Raw genomic sequence first — 23,665 nt, 5'->3', positions numbered from 1 at the left:
AGATGATTCTTAAGCAGGGGTTTTGCTCTTACTCAGCAACAGGGGCAGAGTGGACCCTCCAGGTACTTGTCATAGGATATAATTTCAAACTCACTGTCATGCCATGATTTATCTAAAGCCTCTTTGAGAGAAATAGCCTATGAAGTACAGCCTGAAGTATAATCCATATAGCCCATTCATTCTTCAAGATATAACAAAAGTCATCCTTGGATGAACAAGACTGCCAGCAAAATACGCAAGAAGAATGTCATTTTGTATCCTTCCCATCAAACCTGCTTTAATAAACAATGATAACAATAGACATTTTTATTTAAGGATTTGAAATGTACTTCAATGTGACCATCTTAATCCTCCTAATAACATGAAGAAGTATGTGAGGGGCGGGTGTGTGTGTGTGTGTCTATGTCTCCATTTTACAGATGAGAAAACTGAGGTACAGAAAGGTTAAGAAACCTGTCCAAGAAGTAAGTGGCAGAGTTGGGATTTCAACCCAGGCTTTTAACCATATTGACATTGTGTTTTTGGCTTTCACTGGAAGGTCACTCTTATACTTACTATGAAGATGTTATTGAAGATGTTGTATTTTAAGTAACAATTTTACTTACTTTTTAATCTAACTTTTCCCTATTCAATTTACTTTTTAATAAATTATATTGTTGTAGCATATGTACTTTTGTATGTAAACAAATTATTTTGGAATAACGAGGAGTAGAATATAAATAAGAAAATAAACAATAAATGAATAGACCAACTGAATAATGGGGTAGAAATTAAAGGAAGATTTGTTTTTCATGGAATCCTACAGATCAACACTATCCAAAAAGAAATATAAATGAACCACATTGTAAACTAAAATTTTCTAGTAGCACCATGGGAAAAAAAGAGGTAAAATAATTTTAACAATAATACATTTTATTTACCCTCCAAACCCAAAATATTATTTTGACATGTAATCAATATTATAATATTATGAAGATATTTTATGTTCTTTTTGTTCATACTAAGTCTTTGAGTCCAGCATTCATTATTCTCCTACACATATCCCAATATAGACTAGCCTTATCTGACTAGAGGCAACCATACTGGACAGTGTACGCAGAGGTGAATGGGAAGTCAGAGCCATGCAGTGTCAGCCCAATCCACTTATTTTTTGGTAGGAAACCAAGGTCCCAGGAATTCAGAGACTTGCCTAATGGAAAAGTAAGGACTACTACCTTGGATTCCAGCTCAGTGTTGTTTCTGTTGTTCACACTTTCTACTTGAATGCAAATTCATTTCCATAGAAGACTGCCATCTCCTTTCCTTATCATTTTCTCAACATACTATCACCTAGCCCCATCTGAGATACACACATCTCCCCATCTGAGATACACACATCTCACAGAGTTTTCCATTCCGTGACTACACTGGAAACTTATCTACAGAGCTCCAAAGTAGATGCTCCACTGACATCAGTGGCTACTTACTCCAGAATACAGAATAGGATTTTATTTTACCCTTTGGTATACATTTTAAGGGGTGAACAAGCTCTGACAACTAAATGTTTCCTGCTTTTGTTATCTGCTATGCTGCCTGTTTAAAATCAGAATGTTGGCTGGGTGTAGTGGCTTGTGCCTATAATCCCAGCACTTTGGGAAGCTGAGGTGGGAGAACTGCTTGAGCCCAGGAGTTCAACAACAGCCTGGGCAACATAGCAAGACCCCACCTCTACAATTTTTTTTTTAAGCTGGACATGGTGGCACACACCTGTAGTCCCAGGTACTCAGAAGGCTGAGCTGAGAGGATCACTTGAGCCCAGGAGGTCAAGGCTGCAATGAGCTGTGATTGTGCCATAGTCCTCCAGCCTGGGCAACAGAGTGAGACACTGTCTCAAACAAACAAACAAACAAACAAAAAGACAATGCCACTGAGCACATATTTGAAAAGGGATGGAACCAAGTCATATTTCTTTGTTGGGTTTATTTGTTTATTATTATTAGCCTCATCCATTTTCTCTAGTTGTCTCATGTCGCGCATGTATCTGAGTCATTATGTATCCACAGAAACACAACAAGGTAAACTCTTTATAGAGAGGAAAAAACTAAAACCAAGACCAAATAGTGAAAGTCTTGCCTCTTTAAAATCTAACAGCCATAGGTTATAGCTGACCAATGATCTTATCAGAATCTTAGCCTAATAAGAATTGGATGAAATGCTTCAAAAAGATAACATTACTCAGTCCAAGGATCCTTCCCTCCTTTTTCTGAGGAAGTCTCCCAGGGTTGGTGAGTGTATTCCCAGTTGCCCACTACAATCATAGTGCGACCCTGCAGCTGATGGTGCTTACAGCCCACAGACTTTCAGGACCCTGAGAATCCAACTCAATTGCATTAAGCTCCTACTGGGCAGCAATTCTGTTCTTCCTGGGATAGGTTTTATAAGGTTCTGTACCCATTATCAATCTATACAGAAGAATATAGCTGTCCACAGATTTTATTAGTGTTAACCAATTACTATAGCAGCTCAAAATTTTTTTTCTTGCAAGAGAAAAGTGTCCTTCTTCTTTCCTTGTTCTTCTATTCCAATTATATGAATTCCTTTCCATCCTGCCAAAATTCTACTATAATTACTAATAATTATAAAACTATGATTTTATTTTTTTTGGGTATGCCAATGTCATAACAAGGTTTGAGGGAGGCCATCTCACACATGCCTGTGAACACCCAATCATCACACTTAGGAACTACAAAAGATCAAAATCATGATTCTAATTAGAAACTAGTTTGTAGTGTGGGTATGTGTACAATAATTTCTGACTGCTGAATCAGGGGGACTCCAGAGTTTTAAAAATACAGTGGTGGCGAGGCAGCCAATCTAGAAGTCTAGCTGTGGGTTCAAAGCAGGCATCGACTGTGGTGAAGCAGTGTGCTGATGGCCACCTGCCCTTGACAAGCTGTGGTTTTGCCTATAGTGAGGTGGGCAGGCACTCACCAACACAATCAAGATTGGCTTGACTTTCATTTGTGATTTATACAAGGAGGTGAATCATCTCTGGCTACTATGGCAAAATTCCATCAAACACCCTCCCCCTTTCTGGCTGCAGGTGCTCACATCCCTCTCAGGTGGTGCCTCAAAGATGAGAGGGAGTGACTGTCTTCAAAGCCCAGAGACCAAAGGAAGGACAGTGTCATTTTCAGTATCTGAGTTTCTCTCCCATCATGTATTTATGCATCTCTTTCTCCCCTAAACGGTTTCATTATTTGTTTTTTTCCATGAGTATGTTTGATTTTATTTTTCTATTCTTAATTTTAACACACAAAGTGGATCATTCTCACTCCCGAACCACACAAAGTTAAACTACTTTCGAGATGCATATAGCCTCAGATTTACCTTTATTTTCCTGAGATTGTTGTCCTCATTCTGAGAGCATTCTACCCTTTTCCAATGTACAGTATAAAGGAAAGCCACACTAACAAAGATAATTAATTTGGGAATTCTCTCTCCTCATCTCCCGCCCATTATGCTCCTTTAATGCTCCTTTAATTCCAAGAAGAAGGTACAATTTCTCACCAAGGTATATGTCAGAAAAGAGAAAAAAGAAAAGTAAACAGCAGTGGACAACCCATGAAGTGGAGAAGTGGTCCTTGCATGATTTTATAGTATTTTATTTTTAGTGTGTTTCTTCCTTAGTCTATGATATTGAGATTATTTCCAAATTTTATAAAGAAATTTAAGCATCATTAGATGCATAAGTAACTGAAGGTGGCATAGTATGTTGGAAAAACATCTACACAGGAGGAGCAAGCCCCAGGTTGACATTAACTGCCTGCTGCATAACCCTGGGCAAATCAATTAAATTCTATGAAGGTAAAGTTCTTCATCAATAAAGTATGGTATTATTATCTACTCTCCCAATCTTTTTTTTTTTTTTTTTTTGAGACGGAGTCTCGCTCTATCGCCCAGGAGTGCAGTGGTGCGATCTTGGCTCACTCAAACCTCCGCCTCCCGGGTTCAAGCAATTCTCCTGCCTCAGCCTCCCGAGTAGCTGGGATTACAGGTGTGCGCCACCACGCCTGGCTAATTTTTGTATTTTTGGTAGAGACGGGGTTTCGCCATGTTGGCCGGGCTGGTCTCAAACTCCTGACCTCAGGTGATCCACCCGCCTTGGCCTCCCAAAGTGCTGGGATTACAGGTGTGGGCCACCAAGCCTTGCCATCCTCTCAATCCTATAAGGATCAAATGAAATGATAAATATAAAACTACTTTGTAACTTGCAAATAATAATAAGGTAACAGTAATGGCAATAGCAGCAAATTGTTATCTTTATTATTCTTTGAATACCTCCTACATGCCAAGTATCATTTTAAATGTTTTACATGAAAACTCATTGAATCCTTACACTGACCTTATGTAAAAGGTACTGTTATTACTCTCATTTTACATGAGGAAATGAAGGCACAGAGGGTAACTCACTTGCCCAAGATTTAAAAGTTATAAGTAGGAGAGCCATGATTCAAATCCAGGCAGCTGGGCTTCAGAGCTTGATGCTTTACTGACTCCCTATACAAATCTCAGCTTAAAATTATATAATCTCAGAAAACAACTGGGAAAATTTGATAACATGCTGTTCAAAGCTCGCTCTTTATGGGAAGGTCTTTACTGAAGACTAAGCATAGTTGACAGTGCCCACAAAATCAATTAAATAGCCAAGTGCAGCAAAAGATGGTGGTCACTCCTACATACATGTGGACAAGACAATCTTGAATGTCAACAAGGTACTTAAATGCAAAATGATTATCCTTTTAGACTTAATACAATGCACTAGCATTGTGGGTAGCCAGGCAAAAAATCTGAAGTATCACATAAATATATTTGATATTTCTGAAGTATCACATAGATATATTTGTGCTGAATTTAGATAAACACTTATTGAAATGGTTCATGTGGCCATAATTCTGCAATTAAGAACCAATGGATATGCCCAAGGCTAGATGGAGGCTATAATTGGAGTAAGACCAATATAAACTAATTGTGCAATTTTTCTTCCATCTCAATTCTTGGCATATCACTTTAGCTCAAAGATACTGACCACTGATTTTGGTTAACAATAGAAGAGGGGGCCAGAAAGTTTAGGTATAGAAATACACGTGTTCTTAATCACACAACCGTACCTGCTACCTGCAGAAAACCTACTGGCTTCTTTTTCTTTTTCTTTCCACTTCTTTCCCTTGCTGGAATTCCTTCGCAAAGGCGCCCTGTAATGATAGTAAGCAGTCAGAAAGGGGAAGCTGAAATTTTCTCTTTCAATCCTCCTTTTACAGAGGGCTTTCTTTTTACATCGTGAAGTGCTTACCCCAGATCCACAAACTTCCGCTTAATTTTTCCTCCTTGCACCGCCAATGAACTGGATGCCCTTAGTGATTTGGGATCTTTGGCATCATCTAGGATATACACATTTGTGAAAAAGATCAATTATTATTATTTTTAAAGTCACAATTCAAAAGTCAATGCATCTCTGAATCTAAGGGCTTTGCCTAAATTCCTAATTGTAAAATAAATAATCAATGCCTTCTTATACGACCTAGGAGACACAGTTACATTGAGGAACTCGCAGTTAAGCAGGGGAGGTCCTCTATAGGACAGAGGCTCAACATTCATCACAAAGAGTTTTAGCTTCAACTGCATGGGAATGAACAAGGGAGAATAAATACTCTCAAATCATCCTCTGCATTCGAAGTAGGGACCAACATGACTTTTGTTCCTTCTCTGGCTCCAAATTCTTGGCTTCAAGTGCCTGGGCTCTGTCCTCCATTCCTTTCTTGCCTTGGGGTTGTAGTGCCTTCTAACAGGAACATAGCCCACTTCTCCCGTATCTCCAAAGCCCAGCGCAGAATATCACCTCTGAGAGTCTGGGAGATTTAGGGGGAAAGTCAGAGTCAAAGTTTTCTTCTCTGGCTCTCCTTTGCTAATGGCCTGTGGCCGGTCCTGGAACAGAGGAGGGGAGGACATGGGGGAGACTCCTTAAACAGGGGCTCAGCTACAAAACATTTATATCTTTGAAAGGGCCTTCTTAATAGTTAGGTTACAGCAAAACTTGGCTGGTTCCCCTTAATGTGGAAGATGCCAAAATCTCCTCAGTGTTCAGAGCAGACTGATCTTTGCCTCTAGGACTCTCAAAGGTAGCAGCTGCTGGGGAATGGGGACCCTCGAAATGATACCAAAAGCCAATAGGAAGACAGGCTTTGCAAATGGAGTTCAATGTCAAGGTGGGAACCAATTCCACTGGTGGCACTTGTTCCATCTCGGACAGGCTCTACCCAAACTATTCAGCAGAGGGTACTGATCGGCATCACGTTTCAGCATATCCAATTAGCTCAGATGATTAACAAATGCTGTTTTAAATTTGATGTTTTTTATGTGTGAAACTCTTCCTCCCCAGTTCTTTTTTGGTATCTGTTTTTCTGTCTCTTATCTTTTAAAATGTGTTTTAAATTTCTAGGAACTTTCTAGTATGGAAGGCAAAGAGAATGGCCCTCTTAAAAAAGTGTTCAATTAACTTTGCAGGTTAATGTTGCTCATGATTTTTGTTTACTTCAAGAGAAATTTCTCAACACACATCGACATACACCTTTAAAAAACATGAAGTACACACACAGTTCATGGATAGCAGTCTAGGTTCAAAGCTCTCAAGCAGCACAGGACACTGACAAATACTCCAAATGTTTTTAGCAATGAGCTTTTCATATTTTTAGTTAATGATACTTAGATTACAATAAGCAACTCACTGAAATGTACATAATGAAACACAAGAGTCAGAAATATGTCTGTGTCAAAAATCCACTTCAAGCCTCAAATATTTATTATGCATATTTGCATCATTACTCTTTGGGTAACTGAATTGTCACAGATGTGACACAATCATATAAAAAAATCCATAGACATAGACATGGCACAAACACCTTCTAAGGTGATTTTACTAATGGATTTTATTTTTAAAAGCAAGATTTAAATTTTCTTAATAGAAGCTGAAGAAAAGAAAGTGCCAAATTCTTCCAGATCAATCCTAAAGCAACTCTTAATGGCTAGGACTATGCAAAGTTAAAAGGAGACTGCCTAATTATTTCCTGAATGAGAGGTAGCTGGGAGATGTTACAATGAGCGCTGAGAAGACCAGCTGAGGCAATGTACACGAAAACACTCTGTAACCCATGAGTGTTGCAGTTATTTGGACATCATGCGACTAAAAGCCTGATTCTGCCTATCACAGAGCTTGGTGCTAGGCAACCTTACATCTTTATCTCACACATTTGCCAAAGTGCGTTCCCAGGAACACTGAAATGAATGCTTCCATAGGGCTGAAGATGTTAAGAATAAGGAATAATGTACTTTCCCATTTAAAATCGATTAAATCCATCTTTAATGCACACTAGAACTTCTAGTCTGCATAAAATCCAACATTAGATTGGTATGATTTCAGGAAAAAAGAAACATACATTTTGTTTATTTAGCTCTACGTAAGACTTCTGTTAGGCTTTTTAAAATCTCTCCAATACTACCTTTGTGACCAATTATACATCTGAGCCCCCAGATTGGGTGCCTCAACTTTAAGCTGTGGCAACCTGGTTTTCATTTTCAAATAATAAATGATCTCCTGATGGCCAAATCCTAAGGTCTTGTACTGGACTGCATCTCCTTAATCTCACTGTAATAAGATACTTGACTATCTCTTCCTTTATAATGGGGACTCCCAAATCTACCTGGCAGTCCTGACCTCTCTCTTGCGCTCATGACCTCCTCTGTTAAAAAAATGAGTTAATCCTATTTCCCCCATCATGTTGCTGATTTCCTATTTTCTGTTAATGACAAGACCATATGTTCTGAGGCGTGAAGCCCATGATAGTTTTGCCTCACTTTCTTACCTGTTACCTAGTCAAGGTATGTCTCAAGGGTCCTTGAATCATTCTTTCCTGTCACTGTCTACTGCTCCTCTTTAGAGGGCACCACCTCATAGGGTCTCCTAACTCAGCTTCTCCATACCTGGTGGTGTCTTTTCCTTTTTATTCCTCTGGTCAAACTTCTTGTGGTTTCCTAGTAATATGGCAAGTTATCTAAGATGTTTAACTTCTAAAGCTATATACTTAACCTACTGGCTCACTTTTGTGTGTAACTACTCCACCCTGCATAAGCAAACTGCTACAGCCAGGCTGGGATAGCCTTGTACCTTTAAATCATATGATATGTGCCTGTCTCTGTTAATGACATCACTTTACCCGCTATTCCCTCCTTACCTACCCTTTTTTTCCCTTAAGTGCTTTGATGGCTATTCTAATTGTACTTCCTTGGATAGGTTTTGTTTACCAACCTCAGCTGGACGCAATCTCTCTCTCTTCTGAGCGTTGATATAATTGTACTCTATCTATACTTGCAGAGGCCCAATGCTTTTAATAAGCAATAAATCCTGTAAAGCTTTAAAAAAGCCAGTTTCTATTTACTAGACATTAATTCAATGAATATTTTTGAACACATCTTCTGGGTCAAATAATGTGTTATTAACCACACAAAAAATTAGAATAATAATCTCTAGTAATTGTGAGTAGAAAATTGATAGTGTTCAATTTACTTTATTTAATCTTGACTGAACAAAGGCCCAGTGCTATGTAAGCCTCGGGACCAAAACTTTAGTATTAGGTTGTTTATATAACAGGAACGAGGAAAATATTTTCATGCCTTCTACTGGCATATAACCTGTTTTACAAATCTCTAGAAAAAAATCTTTTACTTCCTCTAATTTGATATTCCGTTAGATGCTTATCATTTAGCCAGTTATAATGGGACTTCTCCATCCTAATTTCCACTGATGTCCCTCAGATATGAAAAAAAATGATTTGTAAATGTGGTATTGACACAATTCAGAAAATCGCCAACTCCTGTTAGGGTAACCAGAGCCTTATCCTCAAGCCTGCAATCAAACATGGCTGTAATTAATCATCTTTGTGGTAACTTGATAGACCAAAAGTAAAGGTATAACACTTTTTAAAAATTCTAGATAAATGGCAACCAATGATGAAGCCATTTTCAGAGTTTATCCAGCAATTTTGAGTATAAGAAAATATACTTCTAGACCAGGCATCAGGAAGCTTTCTTTACCTTTCAGGGGCCACAGAGTAAAATATTTTAGGTTTGTGAGATACACAGTCTCTGTCACAACGACTCAACACTGCTACTGTAGCATGAAAATAGATAGTATGTAAGTAAAAAAGTGTGACTGTACTCCCATAAGACTTCATTTACAAAAGCAGGTGGAGACTACATTCGGTTGATTATCCCTCTTCTAGAAGATCTGCACTGGTTACGTGGAGAGGTATATTAGCAATTCATCCAAGAACATTATTAAGTATCAATTATATGCCTGTGTTACTTTGATCTTCGTCTTTTTTTCCTATATGACTACGTTAGTGTTTACTGAAACTCTGGGCTGCTATTCTACAAAATCGCTCTATATTTTTCTATATGACTATGTAGTGTTTTTTTCTTTATGACTGTGTTAGTGTTTGTTGAAACTCTGGGCTGCCCCACTCCCCTGAAGAACTCCCTTGAGTAGTAAACTTATAGAGAGCTGAAGAGATAAAAATACTGAACCAGATAGGAAAAGATAAAACTAAATTAAAGTAAAATACATGGAGGGGTTGTTTCTCTTATTCTATAATATAAAAAGAAATTAATATTAATTATTAGCTATGAGAAAACAAATGACTTATGATTATGAGAAAAAGTCATTTTTATACTGTACAAGCTGAGGTGTTATGAAGTCAGAAAAAGAAATTAACAATACCTTTTTCTCGTAATATTTTCTTGTTGGTGGTTTGGTGATGGCAAGGAGATTCTTCCACATCATGATCAGACTTTGAAGTAGAAAACAGTGAAGTGTCTCCCCACATAGAGGAGAGAGGCCCCATTTCTGGGTCCAGTGGTTCTTCTTGAAATTCAGCTATGTGGTCAGACGAGAAGGGCACATTGCTATCCACCGGGGTGAGGGGTGGAACACCAGAATCTGATTCTGGAGAAGACGTTCTCAAACCCTTAGGTGGAAGTAATTTGGTAATATGCATGTGGTTATAGAAACTGTTTGATGGCTGTTGGTATAAGAGATTATAAGGAAGGTTATGCCACTGAGTATCAGTTCTATGCAATACTTACTTTGAAATAAGACCAACCTTTTATTAGTGAATCCCCATGAAAACCAGTTTTTGTTGATTTACAGATGAGAATGCATGGTTCATACCAATTCACCATATTAACATCGTCACTAATACATATACCTAAGACCTACAGAAACAATTACTTGTACGTTCATTATTTCCCACTAAGTAAAACCAATAGCTGAATATCAAAAGCACCATCATGAAATATGACAATACAGATAATGCTCTTGGTTAGTTCACTGAATGAATAGACAAAATATTTTGAATTACAACAATATAAAGAATTCAGGAGACAAAGACGTGAACTATTCTAGCTGCTTACCAACTAGGACATAGACTCTGTTTGCAGAAAAATCATAATCTTCAATAAGCTGTAGGAACAATGATATACTCCAACAGTACAAATCAGGAAACGGTCAAGGGTGCTCACCTTTCTCTCTAGACTGTCCTCCCCATCTGTGGAACTAACACTATCATACAGTCTTGTCCTAGAGGGTCTCTGGCGTCTGTTCTTCACAGAGAGCTGGGCTCGAGTTTTCAGTGCTTTTGAATCCAGGCGCTCTGTCTCTGGGACTGCTTCATTCAAGTCTAAGAATATTGAAAGATAATCAGTGAGAGAAACCTTTGGAGAGAACTGATGAAGAGACCACAGACACTGATAAAATCTCAAGGTAACCAGTAACATCAGGTAAGGATCAGGTGACCACCATGACAGCCTGTAACCAAGAAATAACCAAGAAATCAGTGGGGCTTAGGAGAAATATACAAAGTCAAAGGAAGAAACCAACACTAAAGATGATGAAGGCGCTATAAAAATCCAACATCCGAAAAGCATACAACCTTCCTGCAATATAATTATAAAAATCACTAATTTGTATTTACTATTTATGTGTATGCATGTTGGGAAGTTAGATGACCAAAGATATAGAGGAGGGTATATCAAAAGTTGACAGATCTTAGAAACCAAGGACAAAAAACCTACAAAGTCAGGTTTCCAGTTCAACTACAGGCAACAGAAGGTAACTATCATAAATTTACTGTAGCAAAATTTACTAGCAGTCTTCAGGTACTATATCATTTTCATTTTAATATATAATTTTCAACCCAAAACAGTTTCTGAAAATCTACCTTGTTCCTTTTTGAAACCTGTAGAAAGACCAGTGAGGAATTTACCTAATCAGCAAATTGACGATAGCTGGGGAAAAGAAACAAGGTCTGGCTACACAAATGAAGAAACAAACAGTTAAAAAATCGTAAGTACTTAGTTTACTAGTATTGTGGATGAGGTAGGATAAACATTTCCTTTTCTTTCATTAACATCTAACTTTGTATTACAAGTTATTTGTATGTGCCTCTGACTCATCTCTGTGAATACCTTCTCTCCCCACCAGAAACGACACTGATTTTCGAAGGGTAAATACTTAAGTCTTTAAATAAAAAGGCTAAAAGAAAAAGAGAGTAAAGTGGGACACAAAGAAAATGAACTATTAACAGCAAAGGCCACAGAGAGAATTCAATTAGTCCTCTTTAGCCTGGCTCTTACCACCTTTAATTTTGCTACCTAGATTTTAAGTTAGGACCCCGAAGTTAACATTCTAAAGGAAAGGTACCCATTAACATACCTGGATATTGGTTAAGGAAAAGTACTCTCTGGTGGAACTTATTTGAAATGCTACTACTCCTTTCATTTGCATATGTAATCACTCCTTAGAAATAAAGGAGTTTGATCATTAATCCTATTTTATCTCTTCAGAGTGGCAGTCATTAGCTGAAGTCATGTTCAAGGAGTTAATAATTGAGTGCAAATAACTGAGTTGCAGAAAATTATGTACTTGTATTAACAGAATAAACAATTTCTTATAATATTATTAGCTCAGGCAATTCCTTTTTACAGCATTATTCTAGATGTGCTCTAAATATGCTATACTACAAAACCAAAGCAAGGAAGCACCTCAGTTTGTGCCTCTTGTCTATGAAACCTAGCACTTAGTATATGGCTCTAACAAACAAAATTAACTACATTTTTGCCCAGGAGATACATCCATTGAATGACAATATTTAGAGAAGGTTTTGACTTTTCATTTCCTATATCTGAATGAAGAATGAATACTCAGAAAATTCAGACCATTCAGGTACTTATAAAGAACAGCTAAATATTTTCTAATTAGCAGTCTCTTTACTTTTTACATGTCAGGGGAGAAAAAATAATTCCTTGATCACTTTAATTTCCTCCTTCCGATAAAATCTATATTTGTAGCTGCCCATTAAGAGTTCATTAGTTGTGATAACTGGGAGAGAGTCAATCTTATAAGCTCTTGCTTAAATATAAAATGTGGAACACCACGTAGATGAAAGCTGTAATATAATTAGAAACACTGTATGTAGTACTTGCACGTTTTATGCCTTATCTAGCTCATATTTGGATTGTATGCTCTATAATACAAATCATGCCACATACTCTATCTCATTTGTTCCTTACAACAGCCCCATGAGGTACCAATCAAGTATTTTTTTTCTCTCCTGAAGCTCAGAGAACTTGAGTAGCATGCCCTCATTTACATAACTAATTAATGCGCTACCATGATTACTCTAGTGTCTTGATTTCCAGGCTACTAGGCTATCCACTATGATTTAGCTAGTGTTGATAAACCTCCCATTGCAAGATTTTAATGCCATTAGAGTTTGGTGTTTTGGGTTATAAAATCATATATGACGTGACTAGTCTAGGAAACTCATTTCTCCAATAGGCTCCATCTAAAATATTATAATTAATCTTCCCTATATGTTAGATAACATGATAAAAAAAAAGGATGACATGTTGAAAAGTATAGAATAAATTACTTCCTGGATGATTTTTTATTTTGGTCTGGTTGGTTTAATAACAGCTTTGGCTACTAAGTGACAAAAAGACCCAAGGAAGAATCTCACTCCACTTTTGTAAACATGGTTCCTTTTGCAGTAGAATGCTGGCCCTGAGGATCTGGTATGGAACCCAATATCCAGGACTACAATAGGTACTCCATCAATGGAAGCTGAACAAATATAAGTGAGAGAAAATCAGAACTACTTATTAGCAGGTTTTAATAGTGCAGAAAATTTACTCTGGGACTCCTTGCTCTATTACTATTCAATAATTTGCCTGGTGCTTGTGTCAGACAACCCAAAAATGGCAATCTGGTGTATCTGCTTTAACATTAGCTGACTAGGTGCAAACTGCTTGAGCACACACATAAAATTATATCTATTTATGATGCTGTTAGCTGGAATCTAAAAAGTTGTGCCTTATATCCGGTACCTAAGTAGCCAACAACACATTGTATGCAGTTAACAATTTTTGAAGGTCTGAAAGCAAATATCACAGAGCTACTTTATTGCAGTGATTCATGGATTACAAATCAGTAATTTATATTCCATTCTAAAAATAATTTTTTAAAAGAACCAGAAAAATAGGATGAAGTTGAAAACTTTCGCCTTAATAGCATTTACACCAGAAGGAAGCTGGAAGGAATACTGTCCACAAGAAGCACCTACCAAAGACACTACATGCAATATGTCTCCCTTAACAGTATTAGAGGACACGTGTGTACACGGAAGGAAAATGTGTATAAGATTTATGCTGCTGGGTAACTAGAAGGGTGACTGACCATCACATGCTATCTTTTTCCATCATGTAATACAAAAATCCTAATATTACAACTCAAAATAACCTTGGGATTCTGGTCCCAGCTTATTTCTCATATAAGAAAACTGAGGCTTAAAGAAGGTCAATTTGTGTATTAACTTGCACCACACAGTTAATCTGTGACAGAGAGTGAATAGAGCTCAGGCTTCAGAAGCCTATTCTCCTTCTGGAAGGTCAATCTCAAGTCTGGAAGTAAACTTCACATTCTTCTGCCTTCTTTGAGTCCTCTTTTTGGTCTTACTTTATGTTCCCAACAAAAGCACATGTCAAGGGCTAACTTTGCAAACTTGCAGAAGCATATAGCATCAGAGGAAACAAAAACCCCCAACACTGAGGGATTTTTTTTGGCTTTACATATATCCAAGAATAAAATTCTTACAAAGAAAAATAGCTGTCAGTTTTGTGGATGGCAGTGTGGCAGGGGAAATCCAACTGGCTCAGTGTTTCTAAGTTATGTGCTGCTAGATGTAAAGGCTTAAGTGGCCATTTCTCTCACTGTCATTCGTTCTCTACAGATATTTTAGTCAATAATATTACACTGCTTTCATAAGCCCAAGACCTCAGTTCTTTCTTTTCCTCGTTTCTCCAGTGTGCCTTGTTCTGTTGTCCATAAGGGTCAGCGGAAAATTTCCTTTTCCTCCTCTGCTTTCTTATCTTCCATTTTTCTCAGACCCTCCAGTCTCTGAAATAGCCTACCTCTGACGCAATGCAGCTAGAAATACAGAACAGGAGAAGACTGAGGTGAATCAATAAATACAGACAGATAAATACACAGAAGATATGAAGTAGCTAATGACAGAGCAGTTTTGAGTGAGAGAGACTCCACCTCTATACCTGCATTTTAAGACTATTTTCAATACTGCTACAAATTGGATCCTTTAAAAGAATTTAATGGATTTGATGATTTTAGCAGCTGTTATGAAAAATGCTCTAAGAAATTAGGATGCTATATATCATATTACACAGAGACCAGTTCCCTACAGTAATACTGTGAGTCATACAGTTTTTTTCACTAGATTGACGTTATTTTTGACGTAAGTGGAATGCTGCCCACAGATCAGATACAGGCAGCGAGGGAACTAGGGGAATGGAGCAGCATAACAATGGGGTCTGCTCCGCAGTTACGTGCACTAACCCACTCAGAAACAGCCATACTTCATGCCATCACACTGCCTCGCCTGTGCTATTACCAATGGAGGTGCTGAGCATCATGAGGCACTTGGTGGCATTTTAAAACTTGAACAGTATCTGCATATCATTTGCAGCCACTGCAAGTTCATAAAAGGTGGGCCCACTGGGGTTTGGGTTAATAGATAATTGCCTTCAGGAGGTAAGTTTATGTATCTCAGAGAGGCAGTGTAAAACAGTTACCATGAGAGTAGACCTGGAGTTGTTCCTTGAATAGAATTCAGAACAAGCGGCTGTCCCATTAAATTGGGCAATTTATCTAACCTCTGTCCCTCAGGATCCTCAATTGCAAAACAGTCATGATAACAAAACATAATAACTGTATTGCTATGAAGATTATATATGCATTAATAGATATAAAAGTGCTTAGAAGAGTGGTATGTAATAAGCACTCAATAAATATCTTTATAAAGAGATTAGCAAGATGTTAAGTGGGTAAAGCAAGTTGCAGAATAACATGTACACTCATTTAAAATATTTAGAAAACATTAACACAAAATACATTTTCTAGTGGTAAACATATGCATATAGTTGCATAGAAAAACTGGAAAGAGGCCGGGTACAGTGGCTCATGCCATGCCTGTAATCTCAGCACTTTGGGAGGCCGAGGTGGGCAGATCATGAGGTCAGGAGTTCAACAACATGGTGAAACCCTGTCTCTACTAAAAATACAAAAATTAGCCAGGTGTGATGGCGTGCACCTGTAATCCCAGCTACTCAGGCAGGTGAATCACTTGAACTCAGGAGGCAGGTTGCAGTGAGCCAAGATCGGGCCACTGCACTCCAGCATGGGTGACAGAGCAAGACTCCGTCTCAAAACAACAACAACAACAACAACAGCAACAACAACAACAAACTGGAAAGATATACTTCCTACTGATATAGTGCTTACTTACAAAGAAGGTATTAGATTAGGAGATGTTGGTCAAAGGGTACTTTAATCTTATTTGCAATGTTTAAAAATTTGGTATTATATTTTGTATTATGTAATTGTTTACATTTATGTATTACTTGCGTAGTTAAAATGAATAAAAATAGAGAAAAACATATATTTAGTATATTTTCTCTTAAAGGCACCTTAATTCTATTTTAATTTAATTAGATCTGGTGTCCTAGGACTCAGTATCTCCACATGTTGATATAAGCCCAGGGAACTTTGTCAAAATCTGCATGACTATCAGTCTTCCCCATGAGAGAAGGCTGCTCTTTCATTACATCTGTGGTGATTGTCTGCCTGGCTTGCTACCTTACTAACTGCCAGATAATTTGGCCTAAGGTCTATGGCTTAGCTTTCAGTTATTACTTCATTTTAGTATTGTATGGGGAAGATGTACTGAATTAGACACGGTTATGGAGGAAGGGTATCTTTCAACAGTTCCAGAACAAGCAGAAGATTATTGCTATTTTCTAATCTTCTAACTAGGTCTGAACTTTTGTTGTATGAGCTATACATTTAATTTGCTAATCATTGAAAGAATATTAAGAAATCCCTTTTTCAGTTTTTTTGTCAATACATGCAATCTCAAAACTATCTGTATAGCCTTCAAAATGTAAGTTGGTTATTTGTTAGTGTAGTGCTTCTCTGGTGCAATCTGATATCTAATATACCCTTCTTCAGTTTATGATCAGCCTACACTCCTGTTCTCAGTGGACAGAGAGGCTTAAATTCTGTTATCCATATCTCAGAAACAACTCTTCAGTAATACCGCTAGACTACCTGGAAAGGCAGTGACTACCAGTCAGAAAAAACTATAGGAAATGTCCTAACTGCTATCAAATATCATTTGAAACACTTGTAAGAGTTGCTTGATTCTAGACTATGAAAGGATATGGAATTTAGATTTAGACCACAGGGAAAGGCATTTAAATATCTCAGGGTTCTTTCAGTGTCAGATGTCTTTAGATTCTGATGGAAAAGAGATCTGCATAACCTAAAAGCCAGGGAAATACAAAAATGTAATCAAATGACAAACTAGTTGGGGACTGCAGGCATCTATGAGTAGAACTATGACATCATGTGGATAAGCTGGGTCATGGGAGCTAGGATATGTGAATGTCTTTTTCTTGACATTGATATTGTAGTGTCTTTGACATGGCAACAATAAGCAAGATTCTGTGTTTTCACTCAGGGTTGCCTACAAGAATCTAATCAGTTTCTCAATCAAAATCTATGGATATTAGGTAACCCCAAGCATGCTAAGTAGACACCCTCCCATTACATATTGTGATACAATAGCATCCTTGATTAGTACAGGAAGAATTCAGATTGTAGGCCTCTTACAGAAAGTAAACTCAGTTACCTGAGATGATAGTTATTTCCCTAAAAAGGAAAGCATCTTTCAATCATGGGAAGATTTTGTTATGTAAAGCATTAGAAAATGTAAGAAAACTGAAGGTTCACAATCCTTGGAAGTGTAATATAATAGATGTATAAGAATTTTTTAAGTACTTGCAAAGACTGTCAGTCTCCTAGTAATAGTACTTAATAGTACTTTAATAGAAAATGGAATATATCAAATTTGTAAATGTATCGTTAAATTTTTATAGGTGTTTCATTAGTTAAGCTTGGAAATAGTTTGTAATAAAGTTTGTAAATAAATAATAAAAATCCCTCAACAGTGACTTTCAACAAATTAAAAGATTTAAAGAATTAGGTTTTTGATAATGTCACTTGAGTAAATCAAACATTAACTTAAAACCAAAAATTAATACCTGAATGACCTTTTCAATGTTCAAAAAAAAACCCTTAGTGTCATCAAAAACTCACAAGCAACAGTGTTTTTTGGTATACCTATGTTCTAATGTTTCTTTAGTTTCCTTGTAAGTGGATTTATTCCTTATAGGTCTTAGACATGATTACTGTATAGTATTAAAACAGAATTATTTCATGTCTACTTAAAGGAACTCAGTCATAACCTGATGGACCTGATACTCTAATTGCTGAAATAATATGGTTGGCACAATTTTCAGAACCATACACAGAGCAGAATTTTCTGGTACTAAATAACTGTTCATCTGTTCAGTTTTAACTTTACAGATGCTTCAACCTCTGTGACTGGTCATGTTTCCCTCTTGGCTATTAGATATCTTACGTGAACACTGTGACCCACCTTGAAAACAATGTAGGAGCCCAGGGCAACACTTCATATACAAACCACACTGGGTAGCATCTTCTCCTTCATACTTTTAGATCCCTCTACCCTGATATCCTAGCCTAGTCAATTTTATCTTAGCATAGCTATATGGTTATTATTTAATCTATAATTAGAATTTCATGGTGAACCAGGTGAACCAGACCATAATATGTATATATCATGGTGAATCAGACCATATATCAATATAAGAAATAATTTGGAATACAGTAGTCTTCTGAAGTTTCCTTGAAAAGAAATTACTCACATTTGGGTTAAAATGATCTTTACTTATAAAAGATCATAATGTATCTTGTTCTATTAAAAGCAAGTAAAATTCAAAAGCCAAAACAAAGTAGCCCACTTTTCCTAAAATGAACAGAAAATTACTAAGTTAAAGCTCATTCTGACAAAGTAACATTGTGTTTCCTCTTGAAGCAACTTTTTTTTTTTTTTTTTTGAGTCAGAGTCTTGCTCTGTCCCAGGCTGGAGTGTAGGGGCACTATCTTGGTTCACTGCAACCTCCGCCTCCCGGGTTCAGGTGATTCTCCCATCTCAGCCTCCCGAGTAGCTGGGATTACAGGTGCCCACCACCAGGCCCAGCTAATTTTTGTATTTTTAGTAGAGACAGGGTTTCCCCATGTTGGCCAGGCTGGTCTTGAACTCCTGACCTCAGGTGATCCACCCGCCTTGGCCTCCCAAAGTGCTGGGAAGACAGGCATGAGCCACCGTGCCTGGCCTAGATATCTCCCAGTACTATTTTATAACTCAGTATGACTGAAGGGTCTGGTGGATTCTACGAACTTATGAAGATGCAGTGAGAAATATGAATGAAGCAGAGCTGTCAATTTGCAACTGAATACCTCCTTTAGAATGTCTCACTGATTTGGCAACAAAAGTTTTAATAGTTTACAAGTAGTCAGATTCAAAACTTGCACAAAACTAGACAGGCAATTTAGGTGCTTTGCTTTTTAAGTAAGAGGACAGATTTTGGCCTTAATGATACACCAGAAAATAATCAATAAATATTGATTTCTCATTCACTTGGCTTGTTCATTAAAATTTCCCATAGTGATTTACCAGGAATGTTCACCCTTTAATTATTAGTGCAATTCAATATTTCATGGTCAAAATTATTTATTGGGGATTAAACAAAATTGAAAATAAGTTTTCAGGAAAAATGAAAATTGTGAAAGTTTACATTATATCTGTATGCAAAAAATATATATATATTTTTAAAAAGGCTGAATCTACTCTAGAATTCCCTAGGCTCCAATTTAGAACTAAACAGTGTGACAGCATGAAATAATTACCTCATTGCTCTGTATCTAATGCTCTTGTATGAGACTCTCCTGATAATGCAGTGCAAGCATTCACTTTTCTTTTAATGACTTTCCATCTAATAAATTCTGGCTTTAATCATGCCTTTAACCTTATTTTAAAATTCTAGGTTCCTATGCTAAAAGAGAATGCTTAATGTACTCTCAAACTCTATCAGGAAATAAATCAGATATGGTGGTAGGGGTCTGGCCTGGCCTCAAACCCACAGGTATCTGAAAAGAGCTGCTGATTTTGAGGGCTCAAGAGAAAGGCAAAAAGGACAAAGGAAATGATTTCTTGGAGGAGTCCAATGACCTTAGGAGCACCCTTATGGATATAAATGTCTGGCTGATGCTATCCTTTTTTATTTTCTTACTAAACCTTAAACTAATATATATTTTTTAGCTTAAAAACTCTTTTGTGGTTTTCTTATTCTTACCTTTTAATTATTTTAAAGTTTCTAGTCTAAAACATTTATATAAAAATGTATACCATATATGTAACTCATATGAAGAAAGAAAAAAAAAAAGACAACCATGTACCTCCATCAAGCCTAAACTATAAAATTATTACTTTTGAAGCCCTCTCTGTTCTCTATTTCTAGTTGTAACCCCTGTATTTTCTTCTAGTTATTCCATAAATTTATCCCTAAAGAATATATTGATTAGTCTTTCTTGCTTTTAAACTTCAGATGCGTGGTAGTGAATTGTATATAATATTCTGCAAATTGTTTTTTAGTTAGCTGGTTTGTTTAACATTATGTTGAAAGGTGTAACTAAAATTAATTAACTTTTTACTGCAGCTATACAAACAATGCTACATGGAATGTTTTTGAATATGCCTTTTGGTATACACTGACAAGAGTTTCTGGAGGATATATATACACATCGAAGTAAATTTGTCGGGCCATAGGATTTTCACATCTTCTATTTTAATGGATAATGCCAAATTATTTTAATGAAACAGTTTTATGAATTTTCCTGTTTTTCCATGTGCTGGCTATCACATTTTACTGTGACACTTTATCTTTGCCAATTGTTTGATTTTTGCCAGTGAAGTTGAATGTCTATGTTTACTAATGTTTAGGTTCCTGCTTTTGTGAACTTCTTATGCGTTTTGCCCATTTTTCTACTATGTTGGTTGTGTTTTTCTTATGATTTATGTGAGTTCTTAATTTATTGTGGACAACAATATTTTTTTCTTAGTTATACGTGCTACAAATACCCTCTTCAACTTTCGGTTTCTCTTTCCATTTACTTTATAATGTCTTTTAATGATCAGATTTTCTTAATATTACTGTGGTCAAATTCATCCAACCTTTTTACGATTTGGAATTTTTGTGAACAGGCAACCTACAGAATGGAAGAAAATTTTTGCAATCTACTCATCTGACAAAGGGCTAATATCCAGAATCTACAATGAACTCAAACAAATTTACAAGAAAAAAACAAACAACCTCATCAAAAAGTGGGCGAAGGATATGAACAGACACTTCTCAAAAGAAGACATTTATGCAGCCAAAAGACACATGAAAAAATGCTCATCATCACTGGCCATCAGAGAAATGCAAATCAAAACCACAATGAGGTACCATCTCACACCAGTTAGAATGGTGATCATTAAAAAGTCAGGAAACAACAGGTGCTGGAGAGGATGTGGAGAAATAGGAACACTTTTACACTGTTGGTGGGACTGTAAACTAGTTCAACCATTGTGGAAGTCAGTGTGGCGATTCCTCAGGGATCTAGAACTAGAAATACCATTTGACCCAGCCATCCCATTACTGGGTATATACCCAAAGGATTATAAATCATGCTGCTATTAAGACACATGCACACATATGTTTATTGCAGCACTATTCACAATAGCAAAGACTTGGAACCAACCCAAATGTCCAACAATGATAGAGTGGATTAAGAAAATGTGGCACATATACACCAGGGAATACTATGCAGCCATAAAAAATGATGAGTTCATGTCCTTTGCAGGGACATGGATGAAGCTGGAAACCATCATTCTCAGCAAACTATGGCAAGGACAAAAAACCAAACACCGCATGTTCTCACTCATAGGTGAGAATTGAACAGTGAGAACACATGGACACAGGAAGGGGAACATCACACATAGGGGCCTGTTGTGGGGTGGGGGGAGCAGGGAGGGATAGCATTAGGAGATATACCTAATGTTAAATGACGAGTTAATGGGTGCAGCACACCAACATGGCACATGTATACATATGTAACAAACCTGCACATTGTGCACATGTACCCTAAAACTTAAAGCATAATAATAAAAAAAAAAAGAAATCATATGAAATCCCACATTTTCTTCTAAGAGTGTTAAGTATCGTCTTTCAAATTTGAGACTGTAATCCATTTGGAACTTATTTCATGAATAATGTGAGGTAGAATCCAATTCATTTTTTCCATATGGATGGTCAATTTTCCTAGCACCATTTATTAGTCCATCCTTTACCCACAGAACTGCAGTGTCTGCTCTGTATTATTCTCAAACTGACATAAATGTGTCAGTCTGCTTCTGGACTCTGTATTCTGCATATTAGACCACTTGACAATTGCTGGGACTATATCACGTGGTCTTAATCACTTTTACTTCATAATGAATCTCAGTATCTAGAAGAACAAGTTCCTCACCTTGTTCTTCCTCAGGAGAACCTGGCCCTATTCTGGGCCAAGCAATTCACCTTGGCCCTATTCTGGGCCAAGCAATTCATCCATATATATTTTAGAAACAACTTACCAAATTCTAAAGAAGTTAAAAGCCTTGTTTGAATTCTAATTAAAACTGCATGGGATATATAGATTAATTTTGCATAAAAAGCATTTTTATAATATTGAGGCTTCCTTTCTCTTTCAATTTATGTAAGTCTTCTTTCATGTCTTTCCATGGGTCTTGAGATCTTTTGTTAAATTCATCACTGACTACCTTATACATAGTTTTTGCTATTTTTATGGCATATTTTAGAAAATTACATTTTGTTTGTTGGAAATGATTGATGTCTGATGCTTCTTAAATCCATCTACCCTGTTAATTCTTATAACATCTAATAATCAGAAGACTCGAGTTTTTTAATGTATTCAATTTTATTATGAGTGAATAATGAAAATTTTGATTATTTTCACTCCTTAAATTTTTGATTTCTTTTGCTTATCTGGTAGTACTTACTAGGACCTCTAGGACAACACTGAATAGAAGCAGTAGTAATACACTTAGTGATGAAATATTAAAAGCATTCTTAATTTTAAAGGAAATTCTTGGAGTATAACATTTTTCCACTTCATATAATGTGTGACAGAGACTTTTGTTAGCCTCACAATATCAAGTTATGGAAGTTCCTCCATATTTTTAGTTTGATAAAACTTTTAAACTTGAAAAGGTATTAAACTTCATTAAATGTTTGTCTTCATTCATTGAAATAATTATATGTATTTTTCCTCTAGTTAATGTGTTGATTTTATATGAGTAGGTTTTCTAATGTTAAAACAATTTTGTGTTGTTTACATAGACTCAAGTTAGTCATATATATTTTAATTACATTTCTGGATTCAGGTTGCTAATATTAACAGGATATTTAATAGCTTTCAATGTCACTTTTTTTTTTTTTGAGACAGGATCTTGCTCTATCACTCAGGCTGGAGTATATTTTTTTCTTGCTCAGTTCTCATTAGAGCTAAGGAACAGTAAGTAACTAAGGGAACAAAGTATAAAATGCCTTATATAACCCTCCTTGTTCACACTTTTGGGAAGATAACATGCAGTATTACCTAACTGGTGGTCCACTCACTGAGTAGGTAGGTGTGAAAATGAAATGAAGCAGCACTTGGTAGCAATATTCAAATTTCACAGAAATCCTTGAATCACATTTACAAACCTACAAGTGACTAAGTTCCTGTTATGCTTCAAAACTGTGAATGGGTCACAATGCTTACAAGATTATGTACAAACCCTTCTGCAGTCAAAGCCCACTTCTACTCCAAGAACACACTATGTCATTTCAAATGGCTCTACCTTTTCAACATAAAGACCATGAATCAGAAAAAAAATTATGCTAATGTTATTCAATTTTCTCTTCTTTGAATTCCCTCTCATCTTTTGAGATGCTTACATAGTGCCTTAAATTCTATTTATTTGTCTCCTACCAA

The 23,665-nt window shown here is 36.6% G+C and overlaps 1 protein-coding gene and 1 non-coding gene across 45 annotated transcripts in view, besides 1 other annotated feature; both read right to left on the bottom strand.

Annotated features, from left to right (window-relative positions):
* The window catches only part of PPP1R9A (protein phosphatase 1 regulatory subunit 9A), a 389,180-nt gene that overhangs the window by 17,097 nt on the left and 348,418 nt on the right, over positions 1 to 23,665 (bottom strand). For 25 of the 44 annotated variants that reach the window (XM_047420574.1, XM_047420585.1, XM_047420580.1 and 22 more), the window contains 4 exons: positions 10,612 to 10,769; positions 9,812 to 10,112; positions 5,333 to 5,420; positions 5,151 to 5,234 (listed from right to left, as the gene is read on the bottom strand). In XM_047420574.1, the coding sequence (XP_047276530.1) occupies positions 5,151 to 5,234; positions 5,333 to 5,420; positions 9,812 to 10,112; positions 10,612 to 10,769 (631 nt within the window). The remainder of the gene's footprint in view (positions 1 to 5,150; positions 5,235 to 5,332; positions 5,421 to 9,811; positions 10,113 to 10,611; positions 10,770 to 23,665) is intronic. The other 19 variants (XM_047420576.1, XM_047420583.1, XM_017012401.2 and 16 more) reach the window with 2 other exon arrangements.
* LOC124901848 (small nucleolar RNA U13) lies at positions 2,635 to 2,733 on the bottom strand. Its single transcript, XR_007060682.1, has one exon. It is a non-coding gene; the product is annotated as a small nucleolar RNA U13 (small nucleolar RNA).
* Positions 9,462 to 10,661: an enhancer, noted in NCBI's record as "CDK7 strongly-dependent group 2 enhancer chr7:94897970-94899169 (GRCh37/hg19 assembly coordinates)". NCBI's record gives its function as "activates an origin of replication core promoter dependent on BRD2, BRD4, P300/CBP, MED14 and CDK7 cofactors, with strong dependence on CDK7, by STARR-seq in HCT116 cells {active_cell/tissue: HCT116}" and the evidence as "EXISTENCE:reporter gene assay evidence [ECO:0000049][PMID:35650434]".

This window comes from Homo sapiens, chromosome 7 (assembly GCF_000001405.40).
Source record: "Homo sapiens chromosome 7, GRCh38.p14 Primary Assembly".
In the NCBI taxonomy this organism is placed as follows: Eukaryota; Metazoa; Chordata; class Mammalia; order Primates; family Hominidae; genus Homo; species Homo sapiens.
The sequence above is the reverse complement of the archived record's forward strand: the minus strand, read 5'-3'. Positions and strand labels throughout refer to the sequence as shown.